At 36.6% G+C, this 23,451-nt stretch overlaps 1 pseudogene; it reads right to left on the reverse strand.

Moving 5' to 3' along the window:
* On the reverse strand, positions 11,712-12,522 carry SNF8P1 (SNF8 pseudogene 1; annotated as a pseudogene).

Consider the following 23,451-nt stretch of genomic DNA (forward strand, 5'->3'; position numbering starts at 1 on the left):
TATTTACATTGTGGCTCATATTTTTCTGCTTATTTTCCAGCTTGATCATTTTTGATTAGATACCAGACATGCAATTACCAAATTGGATACTGAATATTTTTATATACCTAACTGTACTTTTTAAGCTTAGCAGTGGGATGTAATTAAATTACTTGAAAACAATTCAGTCTTTTCTGGTCTTGCATTTAAACTCAATAAGGCAGGAGCAGAGCAGAATTTACTCTAGAAATATCTTCCCCCCATTACTCAGGTAAAAGCCTTCTTGTTATTCTACTCTATGCCCTTTGAATTATGAGGGTTTTCATTTTGCATTCTTTCATTCAGAAGGTAGGAACACAATCCGTTTCTGGCCGTTGGTGAACACTGAGTATTTATAATTCACTTGAATCCTTTTATATATTTTTGGTAGTTTTTTTTTACTTTTTTACATGCGCTACTCATTACTCAGCTGAAAACTCAAGGGGGGCTACTCTGCAAATCTCAGGAGCTATCTGCATAAGCATCTTTGTTGTTCCTACTCTCTACCCTACAAACTCTAGCAATCTTGACCTTCTCAAACCATTTTTATGGTTCCTCCTAACAGTGAGATCAACAGTTCCTACCCAGGTCTCCTCCCACTCCAGCACTATATTATGGAATTATGCTCCAGGCAGTAGTCTGGGGGTGACCATAGAGCTCATTTCATTTCATTTTTCATCTCTTGGGGATCTCGTTCAGTACCTGATATTGCATATCTTGAACATTTTGCTTAACATATTTTGTTCTTTTTGATCAGGTGGAAGAATAAATTTGGTCCCCACCATCTCATTTTGACAGGAATAAGTCTCTACTTCCATTGAATTTGAAGATGAGACTATTAGCTGGCCACCTGGGCTTCTTAAGCCACGGAGTTGTCAGCAGACAATAAAAGGGGTTGCTCTAACGGCTGAAGTGTTTGATTCCAATAACCAGGAGGAAATTAGGTTGCTGCTATACAGTGGTGGCAAGAAGCACTATGTATAAAATCCAGGGGATTATCTGGGACCCTTCTTGATACTAACTTAATGGGAAATTACAACAAATGGAAACAATCAAGAGTACTGAGGACTTAGACCCTTCAAGAATGTAGTTTTAGACAACTCCAGCTAGTGAAAACTCAAACCAGCTGAGTTTCTGACTGAAATACCATAGTTGGACCCAAATTTTCACATATCTCTAACTTCTCAAAGTCCTCTTCAACTTACAGTCATTTGTAACATGTATAATATCTTTAAGCATTTCTTTGAACATTCCCTTTACCATATTCCTGTAATTAAAATGTGGCAATTCCTTAAGGACACTGTTTGGTGGACAGTTCTTTTAAGAAATGTTTGTTTTCTCCTCATGACACAGTTTCCAGAGATTCTGGAGGTGCTGTAGAAATGCTATTCGTTCCACACTGCTATTTCTAATACCTTTTCTCCTTCCTACACAAAACAAATAAATAAATATGTAAAAAAATTTCAAAAGATAATTCTTTTGAAATAAATGGCATAATATATGCTACTCTCACTTACAGTAGTGGTCTACCAATATCGCAGTGTTTTCTTCTCATTCATTGAAGATTCAAGTACCCGGTCTCACTGTTCTTTACACTACTAATCTTATACATTCATGTAAATGAATTATCCAACACATTAGCCTAGATCCAGCTTCAATCATATTTTTATACAGTCATACTTTGACCTTTTATTATCATTCTAAAATCTCTATTTTTAAGTCTCTTACTCTCTTTACCATATCCAATCTTTTGCTTACCCCATGAATTCTATTTGAACCATTCTTTGACCCATTGAACTTCCAATCCACTGACTCCTTAACTTTTCTCACTGGCAATAACTCCCCACATATGCACGCTTCATTCATGAAAAAAACAAATTCTCAATTCCCTTGCCACACTCTATCTTCATATTATGCAAGTAGCAAAATCTTCACCCAGAATAAATTTGACTCTGACTATTTTGCTGGTGATACCCTCCAGCCTACAGAAGAAGAGGAGCCATTCACAGAAATGCAGAAGAAGCTTCAGGAAGATAGAAGAAAAACCTGGAGACTAGATTCCAAGAAAAGAACTTTCCATGATTTTGTGTCTCTAATTGAACCTTTCAGTAACACTACTTCTGGAAAGTCCCTCCTAAAGAAAATGCTGCGAGCGATCAATTGTACCTAATTCTGAAAATTCAAGAACAATGAATCATGAGAATTAACCATTTGGTTAGTTCTTCCTCTGTAGCCCAGTTCTTTAGGTTGCCACAATTGTGAATTTTTGCCATGCCAACCTGGGAAGGATGGTTCTGCCCTGTCTAATGCCTTTCCTTTAATAGTAGAGTCATCTTGGAAAGTATAAGTTCAATCTTCGACAGAGTGAGGATAAGGGAGGGAGGGGGTCAAAGTGAGGTGGCAGGGGTTCAGGCACTTGCACGAGTGAGGTGCTAAAGAGGTCCTGGGGCCACGCATGGTGGCTCACGCCTGTAATCCCAGCACTTTGGGAGGCCGAGGCCGGTGGATCACCTGAGGTCAGGAGTTCGCGACCAGCCTGGTCAAAATGGTGAAACCCTGTCTCTACTAAAAATACAAAAATTAGCCAGGCATGGTGGCAGGCACCTGTGATCCCAGCTACTTGGGAGGCTGAGGCAGGAGAATGAATTGCTTGAACCCGGGAGGCGGAGGTTGCAGTGAGCCGAGATCGCGCCATTGCACTCCAGCCTGGGCAACAAGAGCGAAACTCCAGCTCAAAAAAAAAAAAAAAAAGTCCTGGGAGAGCTCTTTTAGGGGGATATCAGAAGTTACAAGGGAGCAGATACAATAAATAGAGGGGTTGGAGTTAACACTAAGAAGGGTGAATGAAGTAATGATATGGTATTGAGAAAAACCTTAGAATCTGTCTGCTTTAAATTAGCAGCAGTGCCGCCACACTGGAGACTTATGCTGAGCACTGAACTGTGGCTTAGGGATTTGGGATTAATTTTGACTTATTATTTTATTTAACAAAGTTGTATTGAGAGTATCTAAAATAAAATTCATGTTACTCTCTTAACACTTTATGCTCAGAAAGAACTTAAGAGTTTCACTTTCATTTCCTTCATGTGTTTCTCCCATCAGAGTTATATAATTGAACCAGACGAATTGGTGCTCTGAGCATTGAAATCAGCTGGTTGACTTTACTCCCCCTACCATATTAATCAACTCTCATGTGGCTGGTTAGCTCAGTAGATAAGAGCTAATGAATCCATGGCATAAGGTTTAATTTTTCTGGGGATCTGTAATGAACACCAGATCTCTTCTTTAGGGATAATACACCCATTTCCTCCACTGCCGACCACTGTGAACATCAGTTGCTGATCATATCTCTGTCCCTCACTGGACTTAGCCTCAGCCACAAGGTCTACTTGACCAGGGCTATACACTCTTTCAAGGGTAGCTTGCTGCTAATGACTGACTGGTGCAAAGATACAAAAGTCTAGCCACATTTTCTTAGTTTGAGACAACATGGAAAGGCTATCCCAGCTCTGGAGTTCTCTAGCTATAGAATTGGCTAAAGCCTTCATTGCAGCAACAGTGCAGGTGAGCTTCCCCTTCTGCCCAGTCCTGCCTTCCTCCTTCCTTAGACATGTCATTTGGAATCAACTACCAGTAATACACGGGCACACAGTTCTTGTCTCAGTCTGTTTCCAGGAAACCCAGTTGAAGGCAAGAGACAGGAACTGACAATTTTTGCTCTGTTCATGGTCAGAAACTGTACCTATAAACACTTGGCTATGTTGCATGGGAAAGCGGAGGAAGATGCAAATCAGTCTTCTCCCATGGGTAGATTCCTCTAAGGTCAGGCGAGCCTTTCAGCCTATTTCTCAGATGAGAAGAGAAATAACTTCTACTTGCATCAATATCGAGGACATTAACAATTAGGAATATTTTATTACCATACTGCATTTGTTTTCCTGCAAAGAAGAGTGGAAAAGTAATCTTAAATTGTTGGTGCAGCAAATGCAAATGCAGATTCCAACACCTACTGAAACAGTCTAACATAGAAACAGCAGAAAATAAATGACTATTTTAGATTTCAATCCATATGTTGGGCAAACTAAGAAAAAAGTTGTGAAGTAGTAAATTTAATGTGTAGTAGAGATAAAAGACTGAGAAACTGGAGAGGCTAAATTCAACAGTCCTTTGCTAGCTTTCCAAGGTCCCATCTTTTACTGATATACTTGTTGTTTGGTTGTTCTTATTATTGCTCTCATGAAATTACTTCTATTTCTCCAATTGTTACACAAAGGAATGTTCTTTCGGAGCAATGAAGGGCAGATTGTCTGGCATGAGGTCATTGCTTTGTGGTTTTGAGGGTCACTCAGATAAGGTAGGGAAGGCTATAAGCATCGTTGTACTGAGGAATTCCACCTTATGCACAATCTTGTTGGTTTGTCTTCAGCAGATATTTACTCATGATTCAGACCTATATGCAGTTTAATCAGGAGATCAAAACATTTTCCTGAGCCAGGGAACAAGATAAAATTTCAGGTCTAGTTTCTTACTGGCAGTACAATTCAAATTACTGGAGCCATGTTAGCTATTTCACAAAAGTTTTCTCATGTTTTCTTACAATAACCTATTCTCAGATAAGTGCTAAGAGCCTGATTGCATAGTTAATGAGTCTCGAGATTATGAAATGTAACTCAATAGAGGCATTCTAGTAAGTGTGGAACCAGAATTTGAACTCAGGTCCAGTGGACTCCAGAAGTAATTTTATGATCCATACTCACAAAATGTGAATTTCTTTCCTCGCCATAGAGTTTGTTCTTTGTTTTATGAGCAATGGAGAGGCCTTAAGTTTTTGGAGTGGGACAGTAAAGCAATCACTGTGGTAATTGATGATGACTCTTATTCCCCAAATAGGTATTTGGCTGGGGGCTGGAAAAAGATTGTGAAATTTATTGTAGTTGTTCACATGGGAGGTTAAAAAGGCTCTGACTGCCATGGTACTGGCAATGGAGAAAACAGGATGGCTGTGAAAGATATTTCAGAGTGACAATGAGACTCAACCGATTGCATAGTAAGACAGAGAACAGGGAGTTATGTTGATGGCATTGAGTCAAACAGAAATGGTGAATACAATGATTGATAAATCTATTGTTCTTACATTTTGATTTTGAGATGCTTTGTTGACTTCCAGGTGGAAATCATTACTAACCAGTTGGAAATTCAGGGTGGGAGCAATAAGTCAGTCTCTATAAACAACACTAGACTCTTATTATTTGTTATTTATTTCTTTAGAGACAGGGTCTGGCTCTGTCACTCAGGCTGGAGTGCAGTGGTGCGATCTTGGGTCCTTGCAACCTCTGCCTCTGGGGCTCAAGTGATCCTCACACCTCAGCCTCCCAAGTAGCTGGGACTACGGGTGCATACCACCACACCCAGCTAATTTTTGTATTTTTGTAGAGACAGGATTTTGCTATGTTGCCCAGGCTGTTCTTGAACTCCTGAGCTCAAGCATATTTGCCCACCTCAGTCTCCCAAAGTGCTGGGATTACAGGCATTTGCCACTGTACTCAGTCGACTCTATTTATTTCTGTTAAAAGAATTAACTTTAAAATATAAAAATTAATTGACACCTTGCTTGGTTAAATTTAATCACACAGGATATATAAAGTCTGTTAATGATCTGGTAAACAATTGAGCAATCATCTAGGCAATTAGATGGCACAGATTTGAATAATATAACAATGTCACCAGAAGTCTCTGAAGTCTCATGTGGAAAACTGGACTTGAGACTATTGGAGACAAAATGGTCATATTTTTCTGACAAAGGAGAGAGGTCTTAAATAAAATAAATATTTTAAAAATAAAAAATGTGATATTTATTGTTCTTAGCTTAGTTGTCAAAAGCTATATTTTATATATGTACACATAAAAAAGTAGATTTCCCTTATAGAACTTTACAATTCTGGATTTCCTTCCAAAGAATTGGAATATGTGGATATATTGGGCAAAAATGTTTTACTTAGCTGTGCCTGAGGAAAGGGGTTCTGGTTAGAGGGGCACGAACTCTGCACTTTACTATAGTCTGCATCTCTTCCTATCATTAAACCTCTCTACTTCAAATTTTTTTATTTTTATTTTTGACTTACTAGTTCTTGTTCCCTTTAGGTATTCACATTTAAGATTACAGACTTAGGATGAGGATGAGATGTTCTAGTTGATTAAATCCTATGAATCATGCTTACATGAAGATACATACGAATTATTAAAGATCTTGGCTAGTGGAAATACTTTATTATATGAATACACTGGAGTGAAAATAGACATACATACATATATTTGACAACTTGATAAATCTAATTACTATAACTTAGGCCATAAAAATCAAGAAATATGTCTGTAATTGTAGTTAGTACATCACTAACACACAGGGGAAAATGCAATTATTTTAACATTTACTGCCTAAATAATGAAGACTAATAGTTTCATCTGGCTGGATGACAGTAGGCTTGAGTTTAATTATAGGTTGTCCTTCTCAAATACTTTAAAAATCACAGCAGTTTGGCTGGGTGCAGTGGCTCACTCCCATAGTCCCAGCATTTTGGGAGGCGGAGTTGGGTGGATCACTTGCACCCAGAAGTTCAAAACCATCCTGGAAAACATGGCAAAACCTAGTCTTTACCAAAACCATAAGAAATACAAAAATACAAAAATTATCGGGCACGGTGGTTCATGCCTGTAGTCCCAGCTACTCGGGAGACTGAGGTGGGAGAATTGCTTGAGCTCAGGAGGCTGAGACTGCAGGGAGCTGAGATCGCACCACTATACTCCACCTGGATAACAGAGCCAGACTCTATCTCAAAAATACAAACAAACAAGAAAATCAAAAAAACACAGTAGTTTGCTCCTTGATGGCCAACCGTTAAATCCTAGTTACAGTTTTCCAAGCCTTGATTGCTTTGGGACTAAATCTCCCTAGAAAATCAGCTCCAGTGAGATGCTTACTCTCTTCCATTTCCATTATGCTGAAGCTTAATTACTTCCAGAGAGCTGTCACCAAGAGTTGCCTTCTATTGATAGCTCTAATGTTGGATCACCTTAACCTCTTCAAGCAGTATTGGTTCCTCTGACTCTTTTGTATTTAAACTTCTCCACTCTGTGGGTTTCTTCCTTTCTTTTTTTTTTTTTTTTTTTTATTGAGATAGAGTTCACATACCATAAAATTCACCCTTTTAAAGTGTCCAATTCAGTGTTTTTTAGTATACTTACAAAGTTGTGCAACCATTACAATTAGCTAATTCCAGAACATTTTCATCATCCCCACAATAATCTCCATGTCCATTAATAGTCACAGACCATTCCCTTCTCCCCCAGTCCCTGGAAACCACTAATCTGCTTTCTGTCTCCATGGATTTCCCTATTCTGGACATTTAATATAAATGGAATCATGCAGTGTATGGCCTTTCATGTATGGTTCCTTTCACTGAGTATAAAGTTTCAAGGTGCATCCATGCAGTAACATGTATCTTCCCTTCCCCTTCCCCTTCCCCTTTTCCTTCCTTCCTTCCTTCCTTCCTTCCTTCCTCTCTCCCTCCCTCCCTCCCTGCCTTCCTTCTCTCTCTCCTTCCTTCCTCCCTCCCTCCCTTCCTCTCTCTCCTTCCTTCCTTCCCCTCTTTCTTTCTTTCTCTCTCTTTCTTTCTTTCTTTCTTTCTTTTTTCTTTCTTTCTTTCCTTCCTTCCTCCCTCCCTCCCTCTCTCCCTCCCTTCCTTCCTTCCTCTCTCTCCTTCCTTCCTCCCTTCCTCCCTTCCTCTCTCTCCTTCCTTCCTTCCCCTCTCTTTCTTTCTTTCTCTTTCTTTCTTTCCTTCCTTCCTTCCTTCCTCCCTCCCTCCCTCCCTCTCTCTCTCTCTCTTTTTTTCTTTCTTTCCTTCCTTCCTTCTTTCGGTCTTCCTTTCTTTTCTTTCTTTCTTTTACTTTCTTTCTTTCAGATGGAGTTTTGCTCTTATCACCCAGGCTGGAGTGCAATGATGATCTTGGCTCACTGGCTCACTGCAGCCTCCACCTCCTGGGTTGAAGCGATTCTCCTGTCTCAGCCTCCCAAGTAGCTGGGATTACAGTGTGCACCACCACGCCCAGATAATTTTTGTATTTTTAGTAGTGATGGGATTTCACCATGTTGGCCAGGCTGATCTCAAACTCCTGACCTCAAGGAATCCACCCACCTGAGCCTCCCAGAGTGCTGGGATTATTGGCATGAGCCACTGCTCCCAGCCCATACTTCATTTCTTTTTTATGGCCAAGCAATATGATGTTGTATGAATATACCACATTTTGTTTATCTATTCATCTGTTGATGGATGGGTTGTTTCCTTTTTTTAGCTTGTGAGAGCAATGGTGCTATGAACATATGTGTACAAGTTTTAAATCTCTTGGGTATATACATAGAAATGGAATTGCTGGATCATGTGGGAAGTCTATACTTAGCTTTCTGAGGACTTGTCAAACTCTTTTTCAAAGTGACTGCACAATTTTACACTCTTATCAGTAATGTTTGAAGGTTTCAATGTCTCCACATCTTCACTAACACTTATTGCATTATTGCATGTCACTTTGATTAAAGGCAGTCCTGTGGACATAAGGTGATATCTCATTGCAGTTTTGATTTGTATTTCCCTAGTGACTAATGATATTGAGCATCTTTTCATGTGCTCATAGGCCATTTCTATATCTTCTTTTGAAAAATATCTATAAGACTCCTTTGCCCACTTTTTAATTGGGTCATTTGTCTTTTTATTACGGAATTGCAAGTATTGTTTATATATTTTAGATTCAAGTACTTTATGAGATATATGATTTGCAAATGTTACAAATGTCATTCATTTTGTTGGTTTTATTTTCTTTATAGTATCCTCTGAAGCATAAAACTTTCAATTTTGACGAAGTGTATTTTATCTGTTTGTTTTTCCCTTGGTTGATTGTGCTTTTAGTTAGTGTCATTTTAATAAATCATTTTCTAATGTAAGATCACAAAGATTTGTGCCTCTGTTTTGATTTTGGTTGTTGATCTATTTTGAGGTATTTTTTTCCTCTGATGCGAGAGAGGTTCAACTTTGTTTTTTTGCATATGAATATTCCGTTGTCCTTACACTGTTTATTGAAAAGACTACTCTTTCTCTATTTGAAAGACTTGATATCCTTGTAAAAAATCACTCAACCACAGATGTATCAGTTTATTTCTGGACTATCAATTCTATTCTTTTATCTATATGTCTGTCCTGTGTAGTACCACATTTTATCATGTTTTCAGAGAATGTTAAAAAGTTTTTAACACTGCAAGTGAGATATTCTGGATTTCTATTTACAAAAATCAACTAAAATAATTAGATTATCATAAAAATTGAAAAAGAAGTTGCATTGCAGAACATATTCCCTCTGAAAGACCTACACTGAGTTTGATGTTTTTATAGCGCTATTATAACAAAAATTGGTATGGCCATAACAATAGATGGATAAATACTCTGTATTTAACCTCATGTCTTTGCTTAAAATATATAACCATTAAATACAATAAGCCAATTAGATGATAACACCAAATTGTTAGGATTTTGACATCAGTTCATTTGAAATGATAATGCTTGCTTAGTGAGAGAGAGAATATCAAACCATAAGAAACACTAGAAGTGTTGTTAATAAAATAAAAATGTCATAGCATTAATAATTCTGTACTAAGTCAGAAACAATTTGAATATATTTGACATTTAAAATACTTAAATAATGTGGCCTAATGTTTACAGATTAGTTTTATACTTCCAGTGTAAATACTGTGGCTGATTTTAAATTTGTGATATTTAGTTGAAAAGGAGGTAAGAATTGTACTAAATGTGTTAATTATAGTGGAATGATAAGAAACTTTGAATTTTACAGTTCATTTAATTTGTGAGATTAAATTTTTTTAATATTGGGAACTTTTGCTTACAGAGTTGGGCTTGAGGAAATTTAATTAAGTTATAAATAAAACTGATTAATTATGGGAGTTTAGTTGGTTTAACTTGAGTTGATAAATATTAAACAAGGACTTTTTAAAAGTAATTAGAAATTTACTAGATTGATAAGTAGAATACTATTTGTATAGTATACTTCAAGCTTAAGGCAAATTAAGTTTCAGAATTTGTAACATAAATAAATTGAATAGTCATGTAAAATCTTAATTAACAATCTAATATACTTTTCTGTGTACAATAAAATGTCACATCTGGTCATACAAAATTTACTCAAATTGAAGTAGTTTATAATGCAAAATTCTACACACACTGAGAAAAAAATAAGTTGTAAAAATCTGCTATATAACAGCTTTTATCACTACAAAAGCAGACTTAGGATAAAGACTGAAAATATTATGTCCTTCAATTTTTATTACTAGCACAATAAATATACTGATTTCTATTATATATGAGATATTTTGAATAATCAGTATGTTTCTGCTGTTTTCAAATGCTTCAATGTTAATATTTTTATTTCTAGAATAGAAATATTTCTATTTAGTATTTTAAAATTAATTCACTCAAAAGCATTTGTTAAATACTTGAAGAATGTGTGGATTGAAGACAAAAATAACGCAGTCATCCTCAACGTAATGTTGAGTTTGACACAGAATTGACAGGAAATTCCTTGGGTGCTGTCATCCCTTTTCAGTAACCACCATAATCCAACTATTACAGAGGGGATGGTGTTTTTTTCAGGGGTAGAGCAGATTGTGACTTCAACCTGCTTCCTCTATTAACACTATTCTGCACCATGCTCACCAGGGGAGAAGGATTGCTGAATACAGAAGGGCCTGCCGCGCTTTGAGAAGTTTAAGACACATTCAACTGAGGCTAAGCCAGAAATCATAATCTAAGTGTCTAACAATTGAGTTGGCTTGTGTACTGAAGAATGGGAGCAGATCAAGCTTTGTTGCTAGAGCAGTCCTTGAGGTTTCCTCACCGAGCCAAACATTAACTCTTTGGTTGCTGGATTGTGGGGAGTTTCTGGAGATGTGGAGACAGGCTCGGGTAGCTAGCAATATCGTGCTGTGCTTGCGGGGTTAGGGGCAGATGTTATTTGCCAATGATTACAAAAGTTTTAAAATATGTTAACAAGCTTGATATTATTGTATTCTGGCTGAATATTAGCTATAGATTAAGCTATGTACAACTGCTACGGAGTTCTGCCTGTCTCCTACTTTTAACTAGGAGCCACCATTATATTATAGCAAAGTGAAAGGGCATAAACCTTATTTAGGAAATAATATTGCTCATATTGATTAGCAAAGTGATGCCCTGACCTTAGAAATAACCACGCTATGATGCTTAAGAGTCTTAGGTTTCATCCGTCCTTTGATCTTGGGCATGTGATTTTTCCAGGAGAACCTCACAGGCTTTGCTTTTGATGGCTCCACTCCCATATATTCAGATGGAGATGCGATTGTGCACTAAACTCCTTATAATTCAGTATCTCACATCCATTGGGAGTTAGAGCCACAGAGGCATGTAATCAAGTGTAAGAAATGGCATTGATATAAGGTTAGTGGGTAAAATGGCTATCATAAATTACTATTGTTTCATTTTGAATTTTTAAAATGTATATTGTAAAATTCACATTTTTGATGTAGAGTTTTAACAAAGCATAGTCATGTAACCTCCCTTATAATCAAAATACAGAATAGTTCTTTTTTGAAGGGAGCTTTTTTTTCTATTTTTTTTTTTTTTTTTAATAAACAAAACTGCCCAGGTTTATTGGCCAATAGAAGTCTTCCACACTCAGGGGAAGACTTCTCTGGCTTCCTCAGCTGTAATCTCCTGGGAGTAGAGGTCAGTGAAGAGAGCTGGCAGCCAGTAGTGGATCTCCCCTGGGGCCTGTAAGTCCAGCCACGCCAGCCCTTCTCTCAGCAGGTGTTCTGGCACTTGCCCTGCTCATTGGTTCTCCCATTTAAGACTGGCTTTGATCTCTCTGACAGTCAATAGCCATTTTTCTCTGCCAGCTGCAGCCCCATGGTGTGATCCATATTGAATTCAGCTGGAACAGACTGAATGAGGTAAGTGCCACTCATGGGGATGATGCTGAAGCCAGTGCCAAGTGCCTTTAGTTTCTTGATGGCCCTGATCAGGTTGTCTTGACTGACATCCTGGGTGAACTTGCCCCTTCCTTTTAACACCTGTTGATGTAGTTCCTCTAGAGTTATTGGACCTCCACTCCAATGCTCAGCACTAGGCACACTTTGGTAATGTGGACACCGAGTTCGTAATAAAAATCCCCCACACCCAGCATCTCAGATCAAAATCCTTTTCCAGAGGCCAAAGGCTCCACCCCAAAGGTTGCACACATGTCCTGGAACTGCACATGGAACTCAGGATCCTTCCGGATCTCCTGCTTGTGCTTGCTGGCAAATTCCTCCAGGTTGGTCTTGAACATGCCCAACTGCTTTGACATCTGGGCTAGCTGGTCCTCAGCCAAGACCGTCCTTTGCTCCTTATACTAAGCCTTGGAAAATTTCTTTTCTTTTTTTTCTTTATTTTTGAGATGGAGTCTTGCTCTGTTGCCCAGGCTGGAGTGCAGTGACACTATCTTGGCTCACTGCAACCTCTGCCTCCCAGGTTCGAGCAATTCTCCTGCCTCAGCCTCCTGAGTAGCTGGGACTACAGGCACGTGCCACCACGCCTGGCTAATTTTTTGTATTTTTAGTAGAGATGGGGTTTCACCATGTTGGACAATGTTGGTCTCGAACTCCTGACCTCAGGTGATCCACCCGCCTCAGCCTCCCAAAGTGCTAGGATTACAGGCGTGAGCTGCCGGGCCCAGCTGGCCTTGGCAAATTTCTCTGCGGCGATGACACCAGTTCCCACCCCCCGATGGTGCATCCCCGCCCTGGGCCCATGTCCCGGGCTCCTCTGCTGCTGGCTCCCCGGAATAGTTCTTTCAAATAAAAAAATTGCCTTGTACTATTTCTTTTTTGTCAAATGTTATATGCACTTCTTACCCCTGGAAACCATTGATCTGTTCTTTATCATAAGAGTTTTCACTTTTCCAGGATGTCATATATATGTAATCATACAGTATGTAACCTTTTAAGTCTGTCTTCTTTCACATCTATATTGTCATGTGTATCAGCAGCTTGTTTATTTTTATTGATGAGCAAAGGTGCATTGTATAAATGTACCAAACTTTGTTTATCCATTTACCTACTTAAGCGACAAAAAGTTTTAGGTTGTTTCTAGTTTGAGGTGATTATAAATAATGCTGCTATAAACACTTGAGTTCAGGTTTTTGTGTAAATATATTTTCATTTATTTAGTGTAAGTACCTAAGAATAAGATTACTGAAACACATATGAGTCTATTTATAAAATAAGTTTGTTGAAGTATTTTCCATAGTGCCATTTTGCATTCCTATTAAAAATGTATGAGATTTCCAGTTGCTCCAGATTCTTGTCTGCACTTGGTATTGGCATTTAAAAAAATGTTCACCATTCTATTAGGTGTGTATTGGTATCCTTTTATAATTTTACTTTGTATTTTCCTAAGGACTAATAAAATTTAACATATTTTTATGTATTTAGCTATCATCCATAGGTACTCTGTGGTGAAGTGTCTGTTAAAATATTTTACAAACTTTTGAGTTTTTTTCCCTTGTTGTTTTAAGAGTTCTTTCCATGTTCTGGATTTATATCCTTTGCTCAATATGTAATTTGAAAATATTTTTCCTAGCTTGTTTTTCATTCTCTTAACAATGACATTCACAGATCAAAAGTTTGTAAGTGTGATAAAATCTAAAATCTTGATTCAGCTCTATACGTTTATCAAAAATGAATTGACTATGTTTGTGTGGATGAATTATTGGACTTGCTATATGTTCCATTGATCAATATGTCTATCCTTTTGTCACTCCCACACTTTCTTGATCATTATAGCTTTATAGTGAGTCCTAAAATTAGGTAGTGTAAGTAGAGCAAATTTGTTCTTTTTCAAAATTGTTTTGGCGATTCTAATTCCTTTGCCTTTTCATGTGAATTTTAGAATCAACCTGTTAAAATCTTGATTATTTCTGTGTAATTTTTAGTGCTTTATCAGGGATTACAATGTACATGTCTAACTTTTCACAGTCTACTTAGAGATCATATTTTATTACCTCAAGTAAGACGTAGCTGTCTTACTTGACGTAGTGTGATAGAAATAGCTATCACACTATAGGTCCCTTCGTTCCTTCCTTTATGTTATACTTGTCACATGTGTCATATCTGTGAACACTGAAAACCATATTAAACAGTGACATATGACCTATTACAATTATTTATATTTTTATCATTTTGGTGGTTCTTCCTTCATTCTGAAGTTCCAAGTTTTCTTATTTTGTCAATGGTTCTCTGCATACAAACTTTTTTTTTTTTAGCCTTTCTTTTAGAACAGGTGTACTTGTGACAAATTGTCTATTTTTTTTTTTTACCATTTTTGAGTATCTTTATTTTGTTTTTATTCCTGAAGTATGTTTTCACTGGATATAGAATTCTGGAAGGACAGAGTTGTTGTTGTTTTCCCTAGCACTTTCAAAATATTGATTCACTGTCTCTGGCATTCATGATTATTTGCAAGAGATGTGTAGTCCTTTGAATCTTCATTGCTCTCTACATAATGCCATTTTTTTCTGTCTGCTTTTAAGATTTTTCTTAATATTTTGATTTTCAGTACTTCAGTTATGATGTATCTGGGTGTGGTTTTCTTTGAGTTTAATCTATTTGAGGCTGACTGAGCTTCTTTTATCTATAGGATTGTCTTTCATCCAATTAGTGATGTTTTAAGCCATTATTAAATCAAACCTTTTTTACCATACCAATCTCTATCTTTTCTCCTTTCAGAATTCTAATGACAACATGAATAACCTTTTGATAATATCCTACAAGTCTCTGAGGCTGTTTATAATATTCTCAATTTTTTTTCAGATGATATAATTCCTATTGATTTTTATCTTCAAGTCTGCCGACTCCTTCTTCTGTTATTTCCATTCTGCTATGGCTCTCTTTCAGTGAATTTTAAAATTCTCAATAATTAATTTCTTTGTTATAAAATTGCCATTTTCAGGAGAATTGCTTGAACCTGGGAGGCGGATGTTGCAGCAAGCCGAGATTGTGCCATTGCACTCCAGCCTGGGTGACAGAGCAAAACTCTGACTCAAAAAAAAAAAAAAAATGCCATCTTATTCTTTTCTGTTTCTTCCGTTTCTCTCCTGACAACTATCTGTTTCAAGAGTGTTCACTCTTAATTCATGGGCCATAACTATAATTCTAATTTCCAAGTCTTTTTTGAATAATTCCAACATCTTGGTCAGTTTGGGTTTAGCATCTGCCTATTGACTGTCATTTCCCTTAAGAGTTAATCCCTTGAGATATTTTTATGATTATTCATATATCAAATATTTTTATTATATCCTGGACATTTTGAATATTATGTAATAAAATTCTGTTGCCTTTGTAATTTTCTGGAGAATGTTGTTTCTTTTAGCATGCAATCGATTTGGTTGCATTCAGACTATGAGTACTAGTCCACGTCTGTAGACTATTGTTTGAATGTCATTTTTGTTTATAAAATCCTTTGCTGTGCTATTTTCAACTGCTCTGTCGTGTGTGCCTTTGGGGTTTCTCTGAGATCTAGGCAGTAGTCTGTACCATAGGTCAGTTCTTAAAGCTTTACTATGTTGTGTTAGGTCAGCTCCATGCATGTGCCTCTTGTGGTTGAGCTCAGGACTCCATTCAAAGTATGCTTTTTCCTGGGCATGGCAGCTAACACTCGTAATCTCAACTACACAGGGGCATGAGGCAGGAGGATCATCTGAGCCCAAGAGTTTGAGGCTGCAGTGATCTGTGATTGTGCCACTTCACCACAGCCTGAGCCACAGAGCAAGACCCCATTTCTTAATTTTTTTTTTTTAAAAAGGGCAGTTTTCTCCAGCTCCTCTTCTCTATGTGTGTCCCCAATCTTTGGTTGCCAAGGGTCCCTTTCATCCACACACTTTCCAAAAAGCTGGAGTTTTAGCCTTTACGTATATACTTTCATGACTAGATCTTGTATGGGGCAAAGCAGTGAAAGCAAAGTGTGGGGGAAAAAATAATAGTGAATTTCCCCATGCTTTTCAGATTACAAGAGCATCTTTTCCCATTCTTCTGATCAGTGAGAACTTTTATCTCCTGCCTTCTTTCATTTTTCCTAAGTTCTGAATTTCATTCCATATCTGAACCTTACCTGTCCATGAGTTTCATGCTACCCCTGAGCCTCATCCCCATTCTATTTTAGGACCTAGCTCTATTAATGATTCTCACTCCTGTCCTGAAAAGACATTTCTGAGTTTTACTCATTGTAAGACTCACCTAACTTCCTGTCCATTTGGTCCCCTCATTTACCGTTGCCACAAGTACTCATTCTAGAAAGAAAATTTATTCTGCACATTAAGTGGTTACTCAAACAAAGCAATGTTTCTACATTTTTATGCACCCAACCAAAACCGAAAATTTTACTTTAAACTTCTATTAACTTAAGAATAAAGAGTTTGTTTACCTTTATTCATAATTGTCTGTTTTGAGTTACCATTGCTGAATTTACAGCTGAAATGATCATACTGAAAGCAGGAACGGAAGAATTTTGTGATTATCTTATTTTTTTTTTTTACTTTTTTTTGACATTTAAAAACAGGATACTAGAATTATATTTACTATAAAAATTTTCTTCAGTCTCTTTCCTTTCTTCCAGATAATGTGGCTCACTGAGTTTTTGCTCAAAATAAAATAGTTTTTTGGGCCTCCGTCAAGATGCTAAATTGGATTTTTCTTCACTGGTGTTTTATGAGGTGTTAATTTTGCTCGTTTCCAAAAAGAAGTGACTTTTCACAATCATTTATTCTTGGTCTCTAACTTCTTGGGACACAGACATAAGGATTAGGAAATGAGGTGAGAGGTAAGGTGTAAATGTTGTCAACTGCATACTTTAGATGACATAATCTGTGAATTGAAATCCTTGCTTACTTATTTGATTAGATTAACTTCTCAGGATACTGAGCAAACATCAAAAGAAAGTTTATTTCTGATAAGTTGTAAAACATATATTCAGTTTTTTTCCTCCTAGGAACATTAAAGCAATATAGGTTAAGATGTTAATTAGAGGCCCTGCGGGGTGGCTTACGCTTGTCATCCCAGCACTTTGGGAGGCTGAGGTGGGAGGATCACCTGAGATCAGGAGTTTGAGACCAGCCCGGTCAACATGGCGAAACCCCATTTTAGTCTCTACTAAAAATACAAAAATTAGCCAGGCGTGGTGGCAGGCCCCTGTAATCCCAGCTACTCGAGAGGCTGAGGCAGGAGAATTACTTGAACCTGAGAGGAGGAGGTTGCAGAGAGCTGAGATCGCTCCATTGCACTCCAGCCTGGGCGACAGAACGAGACTCTGTCTCAAAAATAAAATAAAATATAATTAGATTAATATAAATGCCCGATTAGAGAGATGACTTTTCAGAAACTGCTTTTTTATCTTTAGGCAAAGAGTCAAACTTTACAGAGAAAAACTTAGGAGGAACATTTCAATTTATATGAACAAACCTATCTTTAAATTTAGAAAAAAGGCAGTAAGTTTATCGGTTTTAAAAAATTTGTTTCTAGTAATACATTGTATTTAGAAGGTAGGCTATCATTTTATCAAATTAATCATGACAATATACAGAGCTGAAAACATAAGCAATTGATGTCTTGGAATATAATGATTGAGAAAATACTTCTAAAAATTCATGATAATTTTGTTCAGTAAATATGGCAAATTCAACATTCTAATTAAATGTGACATTTGTTAAGCAAATAATGAGTGAAATACTGTATAGGGATACATTAATTGTAAATTTTGTGTTTTAATTAATTAAATGTTAAATTTCTTTTGTTTTATTTTTCCTATTTTCTTCAAAACATTTTAAAATATAAGAAATATATTTTATAAGATATAAAACATTAAAATACATTTGAGGCCGCCTTTGTTTCTTTTTCAACATCCATTTCCTCCCCCGTTCACCAGATGCCACTACTTTAATTGATTTGATATTAATCATTCCAATACATTTAAAAAATGCTATTACATAAAATATTGATTTCTCTTCTTTTAAAACCTTTACAAATGGTGTTTGTGAAAACGTACCATAGTACATACAGCTTTTATCACTCTATATTTTCCAGTGTCCATATCAAACGCATTTCCATAGATATGAAGTTTATTCATTTTTCTCTGTGTAAGATCCCATTTTGTAAATATGTCATATTTTACTCATTCATTCATTGTCTCAAATATGTTTCGGTTTTTCCAATTTTTTAGTATTGCAACAACGAAACAGTGAATATACTTTGGCATACTTTATTCAAACTTTTTTTTCTGTAAAAGTCCAGATAATAAATATTTTCAGCTTTGTGAGCCAAGAGGACACCTATTCTACCTTTGTAATGAGACAGTACCCACAGATAATACAGGCCATGGCTGTGTTTGTAGTCAGTAGCCATGGTTTTATGTAATTCTTTATATTTATTTTGCAGGTTATCTTTCTTTTTTTTTTTTTTTTTAGTCTTACCAAATATTTATTTATTTATTTATTTTTATTTTTTATTATTATTATACTTTAAGTTTTAGGGTACATGTGCACAATGTGCAGGCTAGTTATATATGTATACATGTGCCATGCTGGTGCGCTGCACCCACTAACTCGTCATCTAGCATTAGGTATATCTCCCAATGCTATCCCTCCCCCCTTCCCCCCACCCCACAACAGTTCCCAGAGTGTGATGTTCCCCTTCCTGTGTCCATGTATTCTCATTGTTCAATTCCCACCTATGAGTGAGAATATGCGATGTTTGGTTTTTTGTTCTTATCTTTCAACTTATTTTCAATTTTTACTCCCAAATCAATGAATTATATAACCAGCAAAAAAAGTATTAAATGTTTGCCATTTAAATCTTTGAGTTTAAAATTTAATTGTGAACACATTCCACAGGACACTGTATTAGGTGGTTACAGGCTTTATTCACAGACTATAATTCATGTGCCTTATATTATGCATGACTTAAAGGGTTTTCAAGGGGAAACTTAAAATAAATTCACTTTAATAAAAATTGAATTTGTTCTCAACTGGAAAGGAGATGGTTTCTAAATGAGCCAACAGTTTGGGTCATTTAGAAAACATAATTTTGAAAATATAGGCATGAGCAATACTATTTCCTTTGTCAAGAGTAAGACAATTATACTAATGTTACTGCAAAGGAGTTCAGATTTTATGTATTTCTGTTAGCTGTCATGTTTCCATAGAAACAGTGACTGAGAAAATCAGTGTTAATTTCGGCTCCTTCACCTTGTCATTCTAACACAACATACATCTGTGTGTATAAAATATGTGTTTATACACACACAGAAGAATATATATGAAAATAATATTAATTTTTATTATTTTTAACAAACACACTGAAACTCAAATTCTTTATAGAGATGTGAGTTGGAAAAGTAAACTAAAATCCCCAGAGCAGAATAAGGTCATCTTTATTTAACTTTATGTCATCCATTCTCTTTTCATTAAATTAATAAAAATAGACATGGCCTGTATGAGATTCTAGATAATAGTTTTGTATTGAACTGCATGTAAAAATAATATGAAGTTTTGCTTTATTAAATGAAAAGTCTATTTCATGAATAAGCCAATATTAGATTATTTAATAGTGATGATTTTATAATTTATTGCTATTCAGTGTTATTACTTGAATAGAAAGTGCATAATTAAAAAATCTTTGCTATTAAAATATTTCTAGGTCAAAATTTGGCATACTTAAAGACACTTGACATTTTAAACCTGGAGACTCCTCAAAGAATATGATGAATATTGTCAATTCTTGCATAGAAAAGTTTGTTTCTTCAATATGGCATTAATGCAAAAGCAGTATCGTACTTCTCTGGATATTTTTCAAATGTTGGATTGTGATGGGAAATTACGATCTTACTATTTTCTACCAATTTTTTTAAATGTGTAATTTAATAGAAGGATGTCAACTTTCTCTGTGGAATAATGCATTCAACAACAGTGTTGTGGAATATGAAAGAATAGTAGCAATAATTTGTTTGAGCTTATGTAAAAAGTTAAGCCAGGAGGTATCTTAGGTACTCTAAGTTCTTTTTCTTAGGTACACAAGTTTAGGATAGGCGAGTAATGCAAATGAGAGTTCTTTCCAGTAGATGCAGGGTTTTGATAATATATTTTTAATCATTTACAGGACTATTTACATTCTCATATCCCTAGAGTTGCTGGATATTTTCAATTGAGTTAATTAATGATAGTCATATTATTAACTGTTACTACTTGCAGGGCACTAACTATGTGCCAGCACCATGCTTCACACTTCACATTTGTTATTTCGTTAGAATTGCTAATTCTAGAAGACAAGTGCTGTTATTTCTCTGATGCCACAGATGCTCAAGAAATCAAACCCAGCCAGTCTCAGCCCAAAGCTTGTCTCTCAACCATTGTCGACACCACCTGTTGATACAAATCGCTTCGTTAATTCATCTTAATTTTCTTCATTTAGGCAAATTGATTATCTCTGGTTTAATCAATTCAGCCTGCGGAAAGAATCATATTCCTTAAAACTCAATTGAGCCCTGTACCCATTATTACTTATTTTGTGAATACTATTCCACCCCTATTTATTAAATTACTAACTTTAATTAATGAAAGAAAAATCATCATGAATATTTATTTTGTGGAGGGAAATAGTCATTCAAACAAATTTTTAGTATTTTAAAATCTTTTCTTTTTTGATTCTGCTTTATGTGTTGTCTACAAGTGAATGGCTTAAATTTGCAATGGAAAATAATATAGGTCGTCTTAACATCTTTCAATACAATTTTAATATTTTCTTCAAAGCCCCTTATGTCTTTGGTTAGATTTTTTTTTTTTTTTTTTTTTTTTTTTTACTGAGGTGCCTTCTTCAAAACTATTTACATTTCATGTTTAAAAATTACATTTTACTTTTGGGTATTGATGTTTAATACAGCATGTGTGCAAAGCTCCCTCTTGCTTTCTGTGTAGACTATATGACTGCATGGTTACAGAAACAAGAGCTCACACTAATACCTCCAACTCCAACCCAACTCCATAGTGGTAGATTCTTTTTTTTTTTTTTTTTTAATTGAGACAGAGTTTCGCTCTTGTTGCTCAGGCTGGAGTGCAATGACGCAATCTTGGCTCACTGCAACCTCTGCCTCCTGAGTTCAGGTGATTCTCCTGCCTCAGCCTCCCGAGTAGCTGGGATTACAGGTGCCCGCCACCACGCCTGGCTAATTTTTGTATTTTTAGTAGAGACGGAGTTTCTCCATATTGGTCAAACTGGTCTCAAACTCCCAACCTCAGGTGATCCCCCTGCCTCAGCCTCCCAAACTGCTGGGATTATAGGCCTGAGCTGCCGCACCAGGCCGTGGTAGATTCTTACATTCCATTTTGGCTTACTTCAATTTTTTTTTCAAACCTGCTTTTATTATCCATAGTACACTTATTTACTTCTTTCAGCCCTGCTATAAAGAAGTTTCAGCATTGCTAACTCATATCTTATTACAAATTTACTAACTAGAATACAGTGCGTACTTTTATTTTTATCTTTAACATTCCAATATGTAGTCAAACATTATTTTTCAAAGTAACTTAGGTCAGCTCCTTACTTCTGTGCAAATATAATGTTGTCATATCACTTATTTTTAGTACAATTAGATTCATTTGTCACAGTCTATAATCCATCTTGGGTACCCTTTGTATCTTGGTCAACTTTTAAAATTTGTGTAGAAGACAATTATTCTTTGCGGTGTTCTGTGTGTTGTGAAAACTCCTAGAGTTGTGAATCCACCAGCACAGTATCATAAAGAACAGTTCTATTACTTCAAAGTTTTCTTATGCTGCCCCTTTGTAATACCCTTTCCTGCAACTCTAACCCTGAATACTACAATCTGTTTTCCATCTCTGCAGCATTGTTGATTGAGAATGTCATACAAATGGAAAATTACACTATGTGGCCTCTTGGCCTGGCTTCTTTCACATACCAAAATTAAAAATTCATCCATATTGCACATGTGTATTAGTTCGTTCTTATGCTGTTATGAAGAAATACCCAAGACTGGGTAATTTATAAAGGAAAGAAGTTTAATTGACTCACAGTTCCATGTGGCTGGGAAGGCCTCAGGAAACTTACAATCATGACGGAAGGTGAAGGAGAAGCAGGCACCTTCACAGGATGGCAGGACAGAGTGAGTGAAAGCAGGGGAAATGCCACACATTTATAAAACCATCAGATCTCATGAGAACTCACTCACTATCATGAGAACAGCATGGGGGAAACCGCCCCCATGATTCAATTACTTCCCATGGGTCCCTCCCACTACATGTGGGGACTATGAGGATTACAATTCAAGATGAGATTTAGATGGGGACACAGCCAAACCACATCAACTTGAATCAATAATTAGTTTCTCTTTTGTGTTGAGTAGTTTTCCATTGTATGGGTATGCATGGTTTATTTATTCACCAGTTGAAGAACATCTGGGTTGTTCCTAGTTTTTAGTGACTATAAACAAAGCTGCTAGAAACATTCACGCATGTTTTTCTAGAAGCATACATTTTTATTTTCCTGGGGTAACAACAGGAATGGTACTGCTGGGTCATATAGTTAAGTGTATATTTAAATTGAAAACAAACTATGGCTGGGCGGGGTGGCTCACGCCTGTAATCCCAGCACTTTGGGCGGCCGAAGCAGGCGGATCACAAGGTCAGAAGATCAAGACCATTCTGGCCAACATGGTGAAACCCCAGCTCTACTAAAAGTACAAAAATTAGCTGAGTGTGGTGGCGCACACCTGTAGTCCTAGCTACTAGGGAGGCTGAGGCAGGAGAATAGCTTGAACCTGGGAGGTGGAGGTTGCAGTGAGCCGAGATTGCGCCATTGCACACTCCAGCCTGGTGACAGAGGGAGACTCCATCTCAAAAAAAAAAACAGAAACTATGAAAATATTTTCCAAAGTGGCAAAATCAATTTTGCATTCCATTTGCTTCTTATCCTCACCAAAGTTTGGTATCGAAAATGTATTTTCCAAAGTCTTCTCAATATATAAGTGGGTTGTTTGTTTCCTTATTAGCAAATTGTTAGAGTGCTTTATGTATTCTGGATGCAAATTCCTTTCAGATATGTGATTAGCAAATATTTTATCTTAGCTGTGGCCTGCCTTTTCATTCTCTAAACAGTGACTATTGAAGGGGTGGGTTGCCCCTCCACACCTGTGGGTGTTTCTCGTAAGGTGGAACGAGAGACTTAGGAAAGAAAAAGACACAGAGACAAAGTATAGAGAAAGAAATAAGGGGGCCCGGGGAACCAGCGTTCAGCATATGGAG

This window comes from Homo sapiens, chromosome 2, assembly GCF_000001405.40.
Source record: "Homo sapiens chromosome 2, GRCh38.p14 Primary Assembly".
Taxonomy (NCBI): domain Eukaryota; kingdom Metazoa; phylum Chordata; class Mammalia; order Primates; family Hominidae; genus Homo; species Homo sapiens.